General features: G+C 42.6%; 1 protein-coding gene and 1 pseudogene across 12 annotated transcripts in view, besides 5 other annotated features; one reads left to right on the top strand and one right to left on the bottom strand.

Annotated features, from left to right (window-relative positions):
- The window catches only part of ELMO1 (engulfment and cell motility 1), a 596,421-nt gene that overhangs the window by 85,088 nt on the left and 498,012 nt on the right, over positions 1-13,321 (top strand). The window contains exon 1 of one of the 12 annotated variants that reach the window (NM_001206482.2): positions 10,599-11,207. The exons of 10 other annotated variants lie outside the window; for them this stretch is intronic. The gene's annotated coding sequence lies outside the window, so the exon portion shown is untranslated. Of the gene's footprint in view, positions 1-10,598; positions 11,927-13,321 lie in introns of those variants that run through there. One more of the 12 variants, XM_024447008.2, reaches the window with a different exon arrangement.
- Positions 8,665-9,864: an enhancer, noted in NCBI's record as "BRD4-independent group 4 enhancer chr7:37393979-37395178 (GRCh37/hg19 assembly coordinates)". NCBI's record gives its function as "activates an origin of replication core promoter dependent on BRD2, P300/CBP, MED14 and CDK7 cofactors, and independent of BRD4, by STARR-seq in HCT116 cells {active_cell/tissue: HCT116}" and the evidence as "EXISTENCE:reporter gene assay evidence [ECO:0000049][PMID:35650434]".
- Positions 9,252-9,401: an enhancer, noted in NCBI's record as "active region_25857". NCBI's record gives its function as "activates an Ori minimal core promoter by ATAC-STARR-seq in GM12878 lymphoblastoid cells {active_cell/tissue: GM12878}" and the evidence as "EXISTENCE:reporter gene assay evidence [ECO:0000049][PMID:35858748]".
- Positions 10,591-11,092: an enhancer, noted in NCBI's record as "H3K4me1 hESC enhancer chr7:37392751-37393252 (GRCh37/hg19 assembly coordinates)". NCBI's record gives its function as "activates a minimal SCP1, AML or CMV promoter by ChIP-STARR-seq in primed H9 embryonic stem cells {active_cell/tissue: H9 hESC(primed)}" and the evidence as "EXISTENCE:reporter gene assay evidence [ECO:0000049][PMID:30033119]".
- Positions 10,901-10,950: an enhancer, noted in NCBI's record as "active region_25856". NCBI's record gives its function as "activates an Ori minimal core promoter by ATAC-STARR-seq in GM12878 lymphoblastoid cells {active_cell/tissue: GM12878}" and the evidence as "EXISTENCE:reporter gene assay evidence [ECO:0000049][PMID:35858748]".
- Positions 11,001-11,060: an enhancer, noted in NCBI's record as "active region_25855". NCBI's record gives its function as "activates an Ori minimal core promoter by ATAC-STARR-seq in GM12878 lymphoblastoid cells {active_cell/tissue: GM12878}" and the evidence as "EXISTENCE:reporter gene assay evidence [ECO:0000049][PMID:35858748]".
- On the bottom strand, positions 12,997-13,096 carry RNU6-565P (RNA, U6 small nuclear 565, pseudogene; annotated as a pseudogene).

Here is a 13,321-nt window from a genome sequence, read left to right as displayed (position 1 = left end):
CATAGATGAAAACTGCTTAGAGTCTTTGGTTCTGAGGTAAACACTGATTGAGGATTGAAGTTTGGCCTGCTGACAGCATGGTCAGCCTTTGCCTGTATATTGGCCCAGGTATGGGGTATGGTGTTGGGGGTATTGTCTGACTTCTGTGGGGAGAGGACTCCTTTATGTCAGAGAGGCCTAAGGCCCTGGCAGAGTGTTAGTCAGAAATGAATTGAGAGAGGGATTCCTGAGGGATTTGCATTAGTCAAATGAAGAAGCATGGGTGAGAGTGGGTGGTGTTGCCTGTGGGGGGTTAGAGTCCTTCTAGGCCTAGGGTGTGATTTTCTACTGAACTCTTCCCTGGCTTCTTTGGTTTTCTAGTCACTTGGTTTAATTTTTCTACCCTGATTCCTAAGCCCTGGAGGTGTCTTCCTTCTCTTTCAACTTCTACCAATGTTTAGATCTTATGGTCACGTGATTTCTGAGAATTTAACTTCATAGCTTATCCTCTTGTCTTCTGACTCAAAGGCAAGCACATTCAAGATTTATTTTTCCCCTTCTAGCAAAAAATGAAAGGGGAGAAGTGAAAGGAGGTAGGTGTGCTTTAGAGTGATTTCAAGTAGCTGGGCGTAGAAAGGGAAAATGGAGAGGAAGAGAGACTACATTTCATCGTAGGAGCTTGGCATGTTTGGGCAACTGAGAGAGGGCTGGAGCCACTGATGTGGGATGGGGATAGGAGAGAGGAATGAGGTGAGGGAGAGAGAGATGGATGGATGCGCGGGATGAGGTCTGGACAGTTGGGCCCTGGTTAGATCACACAGGCCTTTGCGGGCCATGTTAAAGACTTTGGATTTGAGCTTGAGAGCAGTGGGGAGCCATTGAAGGGATTTAAACAGAGGAGGTGTTTGAAAGTCTTTGTGGTTTCGACTTTGGTGGCTATGTAGAGAATAGATCTAAGGGCTCTTGCAAGAGCCCAGGTGGGAAATGTTGGTTTGGCCTAGGGAATGTTTGTGAGGGTTGAGTTGGATTGGTGGTGGCCTGGACATGGAGGGGAGGGAGAAGGACTGTGAAGGACTCCTTGGTCTGGCACAAGCACCTGAAGTCATCAGAGGGCCCTGAAGTTGTCAGAGGGCCCCGAAGTCATCAGAGGAGGCTAGTTCATGCTCTGACAACAGCATCTTCAACATTTCAGGTTACTGCAACAGAGTTTGCTGTCTTGCAAAATCTGCTCTAAGTCCAAGTGACCCTCCAGGGCAGCTGTCCTCAAACTCAATGGTTTAGTCTGCCTTCCATATCAGTACACGTTCTACCAAATTCACTGTGGCAAGGGAAGAGAGAACCTGGCTCTCCAGTGCCTCTGTCACTTCCACTCACATGTCTTTAGCCACAAGAGTCATATGTATGGCTGTGGCCTTATCCTGCAAGGGGGCTAGAAGTGCAGTCCCCTAGAGTGCTCAGAAGAGGGGAAGCAGGAAATCTGGTGTAAAGGTGTACCACAAAGCCATTTTCTAATGTGAGGAATCTGAAGGAAAAATAGCTTCTGGAGGAAAGAGTTCAGTTTTTGATATGTTAAATTTGAGATGCTTGTGAGATACCTAAGTAGCTATGTCAAGTAGGCAGTTGGCTATTTGAGGGAGGGAGGGAAGAAGGAAGGAAGGAATGAAGGAAGGTTGGTTGGCTTGGGTTCAGGATATACATTTAAAATGTATCTATGGGATTGGATGAGACTACCTAGAGGCGATGCCTGGAGAAAGACAAGGACTCAGAAATGAGCCCTGTATTAGTTAGTCTAGGCTAAACTCTGTCGTGGGTCCAAGCAATCTTAAAAGTGCTAGTGGCTTATCACAGGCTTACCCATGCCAGATGTCCACTGGGGGACAGTGGGTGGCCCTGTCATATTATAACTGTACCATCTGAGCAGAAACTTTGTGTTTTGTGTTCAATGTCTTGTGCTCAATACCTAGAAGCATACCTGGTGGGAGGTAGTACCTGGTAATACCTGGCACAAGGATGTAACGGAGAAATTATATATATATATATATCATATACATTTCTATTGAGGTACAATAAAATCAATTTTCATTTAGTGATACTGACCAATGTATGTAGTCATGTAACCATCACAACACAGTCAAGAAACAGACCATTTTACAGCTTTATTTTATTTTTTATTTTCTTCATGCTACCTCGTATAAGAGAAATAGACCAGTTTCATCACCCTGAAAAGTTCCCTTGTGCCCCCTTGCAGACTCTGCTTCCACCTCACCCCTGGTAACCCCTGATAGGCTTTCTTTTTGTGTGTGTGACTGGGTCTCTGTCTCCCAGGCTGGAGTGTGGTGGTGCAACCTCTGCTCACTGCAACCTCCACCTCCTGGGCTCAAGAGATCCTTCCACCTCAGCCTCCCAAGTAGGTGGGACTTACAGGTGCGTGCTACCACGCCTGGTTAATTTTTTTGTCTTTTTTATAGAAACAGGGTTTCCCTGTGTTGCCCAGGCTGGTCTCGAACTCCTGAGCTCAAGCCATCCGCCGGCCTTGGCCTCCCAAAGTGCTGGGATTACGGGCTTGAGCCACTGTGCCCGGATGACATGCTATCAATGTAATTTTGCCTTTTCTAGAATTTTCTAGAAATGGAATCATATAGTATGTTGTCTTTTATAACTGACTTCTTTTATTTAGCGTAGAGATTGGTATACATTTTCTGTAAAGACTCAGATGGTAAATATTTTAGGCTTACAGGCGGGATGGTCTTTGTAGGATCTACCTACTCAGCTCTGCTGTTGGTAGTATGAAATGTGTACTGAATGGGTGTAGCTTTGTTCCAATAAAACTTTGACTACAAAAATAGGGAGAGGGCCGGATTTGGCCCATAAGCTAGAGTGTGCCAATATCTGATGCAGCATAATTCACTCCGGATTTACTTCTATTGTTACATGTATCAGCAGTTTATTCTTTTTTATTGCTGAGTAGTCTTCCATTGTATGGATGACGTTTTGTTTATTCATCGATTGATGGACATTTGAGTTGTTTTGAGCTTTTGGCTTTTATGAATAAAGTTGTTATGAACATTCATACACCTATCTTTGTTTTCATTTCTCTTAGGTAAATCCCTAAGAGTAGAATTGCTGTGTCATATGATAAATATGTACTTAATATTTTTAAAAATGTACCAAACTGTTTTTCAAAGTCTTACTATTTATCAGCAATGTGTGAGAATTCTAGTTGTTCTAAGTTTTTATCATCATAATGAGTGTGTACTGAAGTAAATACTTATTAATATTCAAATGTCAATGGATGTAAATGAATCATTGAAAATGTTGTGAATATTGTCCAGTGTCACTCATATTTTAATGTGAATTTTTTACATGACTCTTATTCTCATAGTTTTGCCATATATTATTAAACTATTTTCTATTCTTTAATCTTAAGGTTTTTATAAAATTTTCCTGAGAACAATGTAGACACCACCTTTGTAGATGGCAGTTAATTCAGTGTTAGACTTACTGATAAGGGGGCAGAGCGCAATTTCTCTTTACACTTTGCAGTTACTGAAAACCACACAGGCCTTACTACTCAGTTGGGCTGAGTATTGGGTTGAAATCTTTGAAATGTGAGAAGCCTAATTTAATCTCACCTCTGAATAGGCAGCCACTTTAGCTCTTCCTGGGTATACCGAGGACTACCCACAGGCAGATTCTGGATTTTTCTCTAAAAAGTTATGCATCTGTTGGACCCCTAGAGTTTTGTCTTTTAAGTGTGTGGCTGAGCTAATTTTTACCTGGAAAAACTTTATGTAGATGTTTGAAATGTCGACCTTGGTGTTTTTTTTTTTTTTTAAAATTTCAGTTAAGTTTCATAAACTTTCATTTTAAGCCGTGTTACTTCCCAGTGAACTCTCTTGCACCTAAGTGAATTGATTTGCTATTTAGGTTCTTTGCCATAATAAGCTCATTAAATGCTGGGGCCTGTTACCAAAAAGTGATTCTTTCAGTTTTGAGTACTTGTTCTGAGGCTGTACTCTGACAGAGCAAGATGTCAATTAAGATTATTCCTTGTTAGTGGAAATAAAATCACCTTATCTGCTTATAAAAGAATCTCTCTGTTCTTTCTCTAAGGGGAGGGAGAGTATATTCAACTCACACAAAGTTTATCCATTCATGAAGTGAAAAGGTAAAAGCTTAGAGGTCATGAAAAGATCCCCGTTTTACCAGAACGGAAATTATGATCCGAGCCAGGGGTATTTTTCCGCAGAGCTGACTCTCAGAGGTAGTATCAAGTTGCAGCTTCTATCACAGCATCAAAAATGGAGTCTCTGTGGAGCTTGAAAATCTCAGGCCATAACTGATTCCTGTCCACAGACTCAAAGTCAGAAGCAAGTTCACCGTGTCGCAGTCAGTATTACACAAGTACAAAGTGAAAAGGTGTGACCGTGATCAATAATGGAAAAGTGCATAAAGCCTTTTTCTTCCCTGTGAACCAGCCTGGATTTGGCTTTCAGAGTCAGGGATAATGTGCCACGCTCTTACTCGGTGCCGGGCACTGTTCTAAGCCTTGTGCATATTAAGGTCCAAGGAAGTTTAGGGTAATGGTTCAGAACACTGCCTTCGGATGGGCTAGATTGCTGACTAGCCAAATAAGTGACCAGTTTCCTCAGTGACTCCATCTACCCATGTTTAGGGTGGGGATTATGATAGCGCCTTTGTCACGGGGCTGTTGTGAGGACTGAATGTGTTAATCTATGTACACTCTTTAATAGGGTACCTGGCACAGGGTAAGTTATATAGGTGTGTTGGCTATTACTGTCATTTTAGTACTCATCCTAAGAAATTGTTGACATAGGTACTGTGGTTTGCTCCATTTTACAGATGAGTAAACTGAGGCACAGAGAGGAATTTTCCCAAAGCCACAAGGCTAGGAGGTAGTGAAACTAGGATTAGAATACAGACAGTCAGAGTCCAATCAGTGGTTGTTAACTGCTGTATTCTGCTGCCTTCCTGCTTATTAGGAGAAAATGGCTGTGCATTTTTAGATGTAATCTGCAGTAAAGCAGATAGTCCTGCAAGGAAGGAGTAGGAAGGCTGTATTTGGCACTGACGGCTTGGACTTTACCACTGGTTCCTCCAGATGAGTCTCTACACCCATTGCCTTGATACAGGTCAACAAATTGGCAGAGAGTCCATCTTCTATTTGGAGTAGTCCTATCTCAGTAAATGACATCACCACCTATTCTGTTATAGAAGCCATAATCCTGGTTCGTCAATGACTCCAGCTTCTCCCTGTTTGTCTATTATCAATTGTTTTGATTTTTTAAATAGCTTATAAATCCATCACCTTTTCTGTCTCCACGACCACTCCAGCCCAAGTCACTGCCATCAGTCACTTTCTTACCAACCTACCCCGTCATCCTTGCCCCATGCCAGTCTGTTCTTCATGTAGGCAAAGGTAAAATGCAAATCTGGTCAGCTTGTGCCCGGGCTTAACACATTACCTGCTTTTACATTCCAGTCCAGGTCTGTCTGCCTCCAAAGCCTGTTCTCTTTTTTTTCCCCATATTTCCTCTATAAAGTTTGTAGGAGTTTCAAATCAAGGCCGAGAAAAGTAAGATTTGAAAGGCTGAGAAAAGTAAGATTTTTTAGGTGTCCAGTGGAATCTGGTTTTCTTTGACCTTTCTCATCAAATTCACACCTCAGATAACTAGGCCCCAGAATCTGTACCCATTACCAGACCTGTCAGCAGAACTCAAGTGTTCCAGATGGGTTTATAATATCTGGTATTTTTCTGGGCAATAAGATGCAAGATGGCCTTCTCTAATTTTTTTCACAATTGCCTTCATCAGTCTAGCTAGGGATTTGTGTGTCTGTATTTGTGTACTTGTTTTTATTGTCATTAGTTTGGTTTTGGCACAATAGAGTCCTTGTCAAAGTGGATATTATTAGCAGGTTGAGTTTCAAGTTTGCTAGAACTGAATGCAGATACAAAGCATTTGAAATTATCAGTATACTGTTAATGGAGGCTAGAGGAGAAATCAAAGTAAATTTTCAGAAGTATGAAATTAGCAAACTGCCAACACAGGGTTGGAAGTTTCTCTATTTTCCTCTTACCAGCTTTTAATCTGGTAATTTCCCAGGGAGTACAGACAGGCTGTGGGGAAGCTCTCTGCCCATGCTAACTTGAGGGGAAAATGAGCATTAAAAAAACAATTCATTCAGAATGCCCTGGGATACCAGTGAGCAGATCAGCAACCCTAGGATGTAATCAATAATATTGGCTTTCAGAATAGAACCACAGACCACTTTCCCCCCAAATATGCACCACAGACTGCCATTCAGCACCTCAGATCTTATTTATCTATGCATTTGAGCAGGAACAAGTCTTTTTGTTCTTAAGCATGGCCCACTGGCTCCACTGTCATCTTGATGTTTGTGTGAAAAGCTCTCACAGTATGGCCGTATGGCCATGCTGATAGCATGTACCCTGACTGTGTTTTATCTTAAACCAAACTGCAGCAAACATGTGAGGCAGCTCAGATAAAAACTAGAAGGAAGAGATTTTATCATAAAATCCAGGGAGTTTTGGCAGAGCCTCCTAAAGTGAAAGAGATGAGAAGGAAAAAATCTATAGGTTTGTTTGTCTTACTAGTGAGGGTAGGTTTGTGGCTAATAACTAGAGAGATAAAATATCTACAGCACTGAAAATGGGGGAAATTTGTTTTTTAACTGCATCTTTCCTGAGAAACATTCTGAGGTTCTGCTGTTTAGAGCCATGATAAGACAACCCTAGGAATGAAGCTGAGTAATCATTATGTCTTAGTCTCCACTAAAACCACAGCTTCTGGGGGGCAGCTGGGCTGAGGTCTCGCCAGCAAAGCTCATTAGGCCCCAGGTGGATTATGCCTACTATAGCAGGGAAGGGTGTGATACCTGTGTTCAACCATCATATGGGCCACTGTTGACACTCCTGAAACCAAAGACAGGTTAGCAAGCGAAAAGCATAACACATTTATTTAATATAAGTTTTATATAACATGGGAGCCTTTAGAAACGAAGACCAAAAGCCCCAGAAATGAAGACCCAAAGCCCCAGAAACAAAGACCCAAAGCCCCATAACTATTCTTATGTTTAGGCTTGATAAAGAATGGACAGCCATATAGAACTATGATTGGACAAAGGGTGTGACCTAATGGCAGTATGACTGAGGAGGAACCTCAGCAAGGGCTGTTGGTTCAGATTCTTATTGGTCTGTCTGTGTAGCATGTCTTCCTCCTGGATATAGGGCAGGACTCCTCTGGAAAGAGGGTCTTTGGGGAGAAGGAAGAAGGAAGAGAGTGACCTTCCTAGGTTTCATGGTTTACTTTGGTGGAGATAGGTTCTAGTTTCTATGACCCACTTTGTGGAAGAGGATTTTTTTATTTATTTATTATGCTTTTATTAAGAAATGCTTAAAGGATTTTGTGAATTTGTCTTCCTATCCATTGATCATTTTTCTTTTCTTTTTTTTTTTTAATTATACTTTAAGTTCTGGGATACATGTGCAGAATGTGCAGGTTTGTTACACAGGTATACACATGCCATGGTGGTTTGCTGCTCCCATCAACCTGTCATCTATATTAGGTATTTCTCGTAATTCCATCCCTCCCCTATCACACGGGCCCCGGTGTGTGATGTTCCCCTCCCTGTGTCCATGTGTTCTCATTGTTCAACTCCCACTTATGAGTGAGAACATGGGGTGTTTGGTTTTCTGTTCCTGTGTTAGTTTGCTGAGAATAATGGTTTCCAGCTTCATCCATGTCCCTGTAAAGGACATGAACTCATTCTTTGGAGAAATAGGAATGCTTTTACACTGTTGGTGGGAGTGTAAATTAGTTCAACCACTGTGGAAGACAGTATGGTGATTCGTCAAGGATCTGGAGCCAGAAATATCATTTGACCCAGCGATCCCATTACTGAGTATATACCCAAAGGACTATAAATCAATCTACTATAAAGACACATGCACGTGTATGTTTATTGTAGCACTGTTCACAATAACAAAGACTTGGTACCAACCCAAATGCCCATCAATGATAGACTAGATAAAGAAAATGTGGCACATAGACACCATGGAATTTTGTTTTTTATGAGTTGCTTCAGTGGGGAAAGAGAGATGGGAGAAAGGAGAGCAGTAGAGGTCAGAGAGACCTTGGTTCTGAGACCTTCCAGTCTTCTTTAGTTCAGAGTACTCAGCATGCCAAAGCTCCATACTTTGGGGTATTGATTGTTTTCTAAGCCCTAACACTACCCTCTGTCTAGTTGCTGGGAGGATCAGACAGAAAAGGACAGATGTCACTCTGCAAGGCTGGAAGAACATACAGTTGGTGAAGATGTGCAGTAATAGTGGGGCAGATCCCCCTCTGTGCAGAAGCTCCCCTGTGAGCCTTCTTAAAGCACTCAGCCACCTCATAACTCAAGATGACATCCATTTCTCCTTGCGGAGAAAGGATTTAGAACAAGTTGAGTCCTGGTCACCTTTGTGTTCTCAGAGAACTTTCCTGGAGGACTAGACCTGTGGTCAGGAGGGAAAATGGTTCTCTTATTTTCCATCAGGGCATCTGCTCAGGCAATTCTCTGTGACTTCCTGCCTTTGCAAATGTAGGTCAATCCTTCCAGAATCTTACCCTAACTTTCCCCCCTCCGATTTCTGTCAACACAATCGTTCACCTAGAATCTTTTCTATGCCCTCAAAACTTCAAATCTAAAAACTCCCTGAACTTAAAGCAAAGTTATTATTTCCTTTCTAGTGCCATAGCTCTTTGTCCAATTCGGTTATGATGCTTACAGCAAAAGGAATTCTCATGCAGTGTGGCTTCTGTGTGTTTCATGAGACTGGACTACAGATGTGTTTCCTCAGTTTCATTTATCCAGCTACCCCATGTCTGGCAAATGATAATCCCAGGTCAGGCACTACTCTAATTGCTTTATAGATATTTTATCTTCATAATAATCCCATGAGAAAGGTACCTCTGTCATTCCAGTTTCACAGATGAGGATACTGAGGGTCACATGTTGTGTAATTTGTCCAGAGTCACAGCGTTTTCAATGTGGGTGAACCAGGATTAACACCCAGGCCAACAACTGACCCCAGAGCCCTCATAAAAGTCTGTGCTCCTCTGGGAATAAGGACGTCAGGCCGGGAGAAAGAGCCTAATGGTATTCCGTGAGAGGCGGCTATGCGGCATTGCATTATGCATCAGAATGACTAATTCTGTGTACGAGGGTTGTCAGGTGAAACCCAGTGGAGGCACAGCCCAGAGTTCTGCAGGGGCCTTCGCTGGTAATCTGATGCAATCAAATGTTCTAGGGGTGGTAGTTAGAGCTCTGCTGTTGCTGGAGAGAGGCCCAAGAAAGAAGTTTCACATATTGTTTTTTGATCAGCAGGTTTGGAAACTTTGAATGTTTGGCTCACAGGATGGTGGAAATGCTCCAGCACTTCCTGTGGCTTCGAGTCTGGTTTCTGCGATAGGGAACTGGGCTCGAGCCTTGCCTCCTCCACTGGGGACTGTCTGCACACATCACCGAGTGACAGGCTTGCTGGGAGGAAGGGAGCAGCCACTGGCATTACAACAGCTGAAAAGGAATTTGAAAAGCAAATATCCAGAAAACCAGAACAAGGGAGGAAGTGTGTGCATTAGTTTGCAAAATGATGAACTTTCCAGTTGAAATGCTGATTCCCAAAGCGCAAGAGAGCTTGGAGTGAAGGGAAGAGAGTGAGTGGCTCAGCTCAGGTCTCATCTTGTTTTTGAAAGAATTTTTCCAGGAGGAAAAGGAATCTGGAATAGGCCCTCCTCTCACCTCTCAGCAGCTCCCTTTCTATTTCTGTCCAGTGGGAACAAATGAATAGCTGCTGCTTGAAGAAATGCCGGAAGGTTTTCTGTGCAAGGAATTCTGGATTTTAAAAATGCATCACTGGCTTGAGTAATCCTTCACATTTGTAATTTTAATCTTTGAATTTGGTTTTAAGGAAAGAGTGGTTCATTTATTCATTCACTTGTCTGGAAAATATTGAGTTGCTCTTTACCATGCTGTCTGATCAGGTCTGGAACAACAGAGATGAGTAAGATATGAGTCCTACCCTCAGAGAACTCATATAAACAAATAGGATAAGGTGTGGAAAAGTGCTCTGGTAGGTCACTGTAAGCGCCTAAGAAGACAGATTCAGGGCAGTTACTTCTAGCACGGGAGGCCGTGAGGTCAGGGAGATCTTTAAGAGAAACTGGTGCATGAGATTGGCACTGAAATCTAGATGGGAATTTTTGAAGCAGACCCAAGGGAAGGAAAGGACATTGGAGGTAGAGAGAACATTCTGAACAAAGACAGGGTGAAAGCGAGAGGTGGAGCCGACTGGGCTTCTGGGTTGGGTGGGGACTTGGAGAACTTTTGTGTCTCGCTAAAGGATTGTAAATACACCAATCAGCACTCTGTGTCTAGCTAAAGGTTTGTAAACACGCCAGTCAGCACAATGTCAAAACAGACAAATGAACGCTCTGTAAAACGGCCCAATCAGCTCTCTGTAAAATGAACCAATCAGCAGGATGTGTGGGTGGGGCCAGATAAGGGAATAAACGCAGGTCACCTGAGCCAGTAGCAGCAACCTGGGTCCCCTTCCACGCTGTGGAATCTTTGTTTTTTTTTCACTGCTCGCAATAAATCTTGCTGCTGCTTATTATTTGGGTCCGTGTTACCTTTATGAGCTGTAGCACTCACCGCGAAGGTTTGCAGCTTCGCTATTCACTCTTGAAGCCAGCGAGACCACGAACCCACCGGGAGGAAGAAACAACTCCGGACGCGCCACCTTTAAGAGCTGTAACACTAACGGTGAAAGTCTGCGGTATCACTCCTGAAGTCAGGGAGACCACGAACCCCCCAGAAGAAACTCCGGACGCATCTGAACATCTGAAGGAACAAACTCTGGACACACCATCTTTAAGAACTGAAACACCGCGACAGTTCGCTGCTTCATTCTTAAAGGCAGTGAGACCGAGAACGCACCAATTCTGGACACAAAAGGACCTTAGCAGGCTCAGGAAATGGCAAGCCATTTATGAAGAGGGAAGAGATAGCAAACGTTGGTCTCAAGTTCTCTAGTTCTTTACCCAGACCATAGCTGGCTGGGGGATGATCCTGATTTAGTCTGGGGGGTTCCTTTACGCATTGCCACCAGCAGGTGCCGCAAATGGACCATTGGCAGTCTTAAGGTAGAACCAGTTTTCCATGTCAGACTTACAGAGCCATTGGATGTGCCTGGGGTTTGGGGAGCAGGGACTCGTTGGGTGGGGGAGGATGCACCGGTGGTACCTGGATGCAGGCTGTGAAAAGTTTATATCCTAGAGGTCCCAAGTCACCACAGATTTAAAGCAGGAAGTGAGATGTTCAAATGATCACAAATACAAGTATTCTGTTTCTTTTACTGTTTTATCTTCCGTTGCTTTGCACAGTAGAAGTTGCAGTTAATAGAAGTTTTACTGTTCTCTGAATTGGAAAGAGTTACTCAAAAGAATTGGGCTACTTTCCTGGAGACAAGCCCATAGATGCAGGTGGTGATAATTCAATATGGGACTAACGGAAAGTTTTCTCTGCCACTTTCCATTGCATTTCTGGCCAAGACTATTTAGCGATTCTTTCTGAGAAACCGAGGAGGCAAATAGTCTCAAAGTATGTCCTATGAGAAACGTGTGCCGCAAGATGTTTCGTTAAAAAAAAAGTTTTCTGGACAGATACATTTGGGAAATATTATAGATTGCATATGGACATTTCACAGAACACGTGTTACGTTAAAGTCCCTGAGAAGTCCTGCAGTAAAGGAAACTTTGAAAAGAACGGCGTAGAGCCCAGCACAGTGGCTCATGCCTGCAATCCCAGTACTTTGGGAGGCTGCAGCAAGAAGTATCCTTTGAGCTCAGGAGTTCGAGACCAGGTAACATAATGAGACCTCATCTCTATTAAACAAAAAAATGGCATAGTGGTTACGAACATGAGCTATCAAATCAGACATGTAGATTTCATTCTGGCTGGGTTCCGTATGTGGATGTGAGACTTTGGGCAAGATATTTAATGTCTTTACATCTTGGTTTCCTTGTTTATAAAATAGGCTAGTAATGGTACCTTATTCATAAAATTGTCTCTAAAAGTATATAGTAAGTGAACTAGTAAGTTATTAGTGGATATTATTCTATTCAGTTTTTTCCAAGAATCCTGACTCTTTATTTTTGCATTGCATTTATAAATAACTCAGAGAAGCGGTGCTGTGTGGGAAATGCTGGAGTGAGACTAACTCTTGCAATCCATGCGTGACTTCTGATAGCAGTCCCACAGAGGAAAGGCAGGCCCTAGGTGCTGAGCGCTACGTCACAGATGTGGACTTGCAGCTATATGAAGCTCTAGAATTGGGGAGCAAAAGACCATTTCCTCTTGACTGCAAGGTTAGAGTGTGTAACTTCAGTCTGTTTTGCCTTCCAGTCATTTAATGACAAGTTTGGAACTCAGGGCAGTAAACAGATATGGTTAGGTTGATATATTAGGAGTTTTTCAATTGTAAGGGACAGAAACAACTCAAGCTGATTTAGCGTAATGAGGAATTTATTAGTTTGTCTATCTAGGAAGGATGTTAGGGTAGTACAGAGAACTGAAGGAAAAGTGTTAGGAAACTCAACAGAAACTGAACATAGCTAGGCCTTCTGTCCTTGTTCCCTTTTGAATGTTTTCCTCTTGACTTGTCTTTGCTTCTCCTTGCCTCATTCTTTCCTATTGTGGATGACCTTTCCCCATGGAGGGAGCATGGCTGCAGACAGCTTCAGCTTCAGCTTCATCCCCAGCAGAAGGCAAGAACTCCTGGTGATCTACCTGCCTGGTCCCTGCAAAGTGCTAGGATTACAGGCGCAAGCCACTGCGCCCAGCTGACAAATTTATGAGATCCTTATTAAGGATATTTATACTAGGTTGGATCACATTTATTGCAAATTTTTTTTCAGATTGTTATTCGTGTTTAAATTTTTTAAATACTTTAATATATAAAAATTACACATGGGTCATGCTAATCTTCTCTGTATTGTTCCAGTTTTAGTATATATGCTGCTGAAGCGAGCACTGTCTCTAAATTTTTATAAAGGTTTTTGGAATTCAGAAGTTTTTAAGCTTGCTTGTATCAAATCATCAGGCTCTTCTTTGACGCTTTCTGCCTTTTGTGTTTTATTAGTTTGCTAGGGCTGCCATAAAAAAGTACCACAGACTGGGGTGCTTAACTAACAGAAATGGGTTTTCTCACTGTTACGGAGGCTAGAAGTCAGAGATCAAGGTGTTATCAGTGTTGGTT

This window comes from Homo sapiens, chromosome 7 (assembly GCF_000001405.40).
Source record: "Homo sapiens chromosome 7, GRCh38.p14 Primary Assembly".
Classification (NCBI taxonomy): Eukaryota; Metazoa; Chordata; class Mammalia; order Primates; family Hominidae; genus Homo; species Homo sapiens.
Note: the sequence above shows the minus strand (reverse complement) of the source record. Positions and strands in the feature narration are given on the sequence as shown.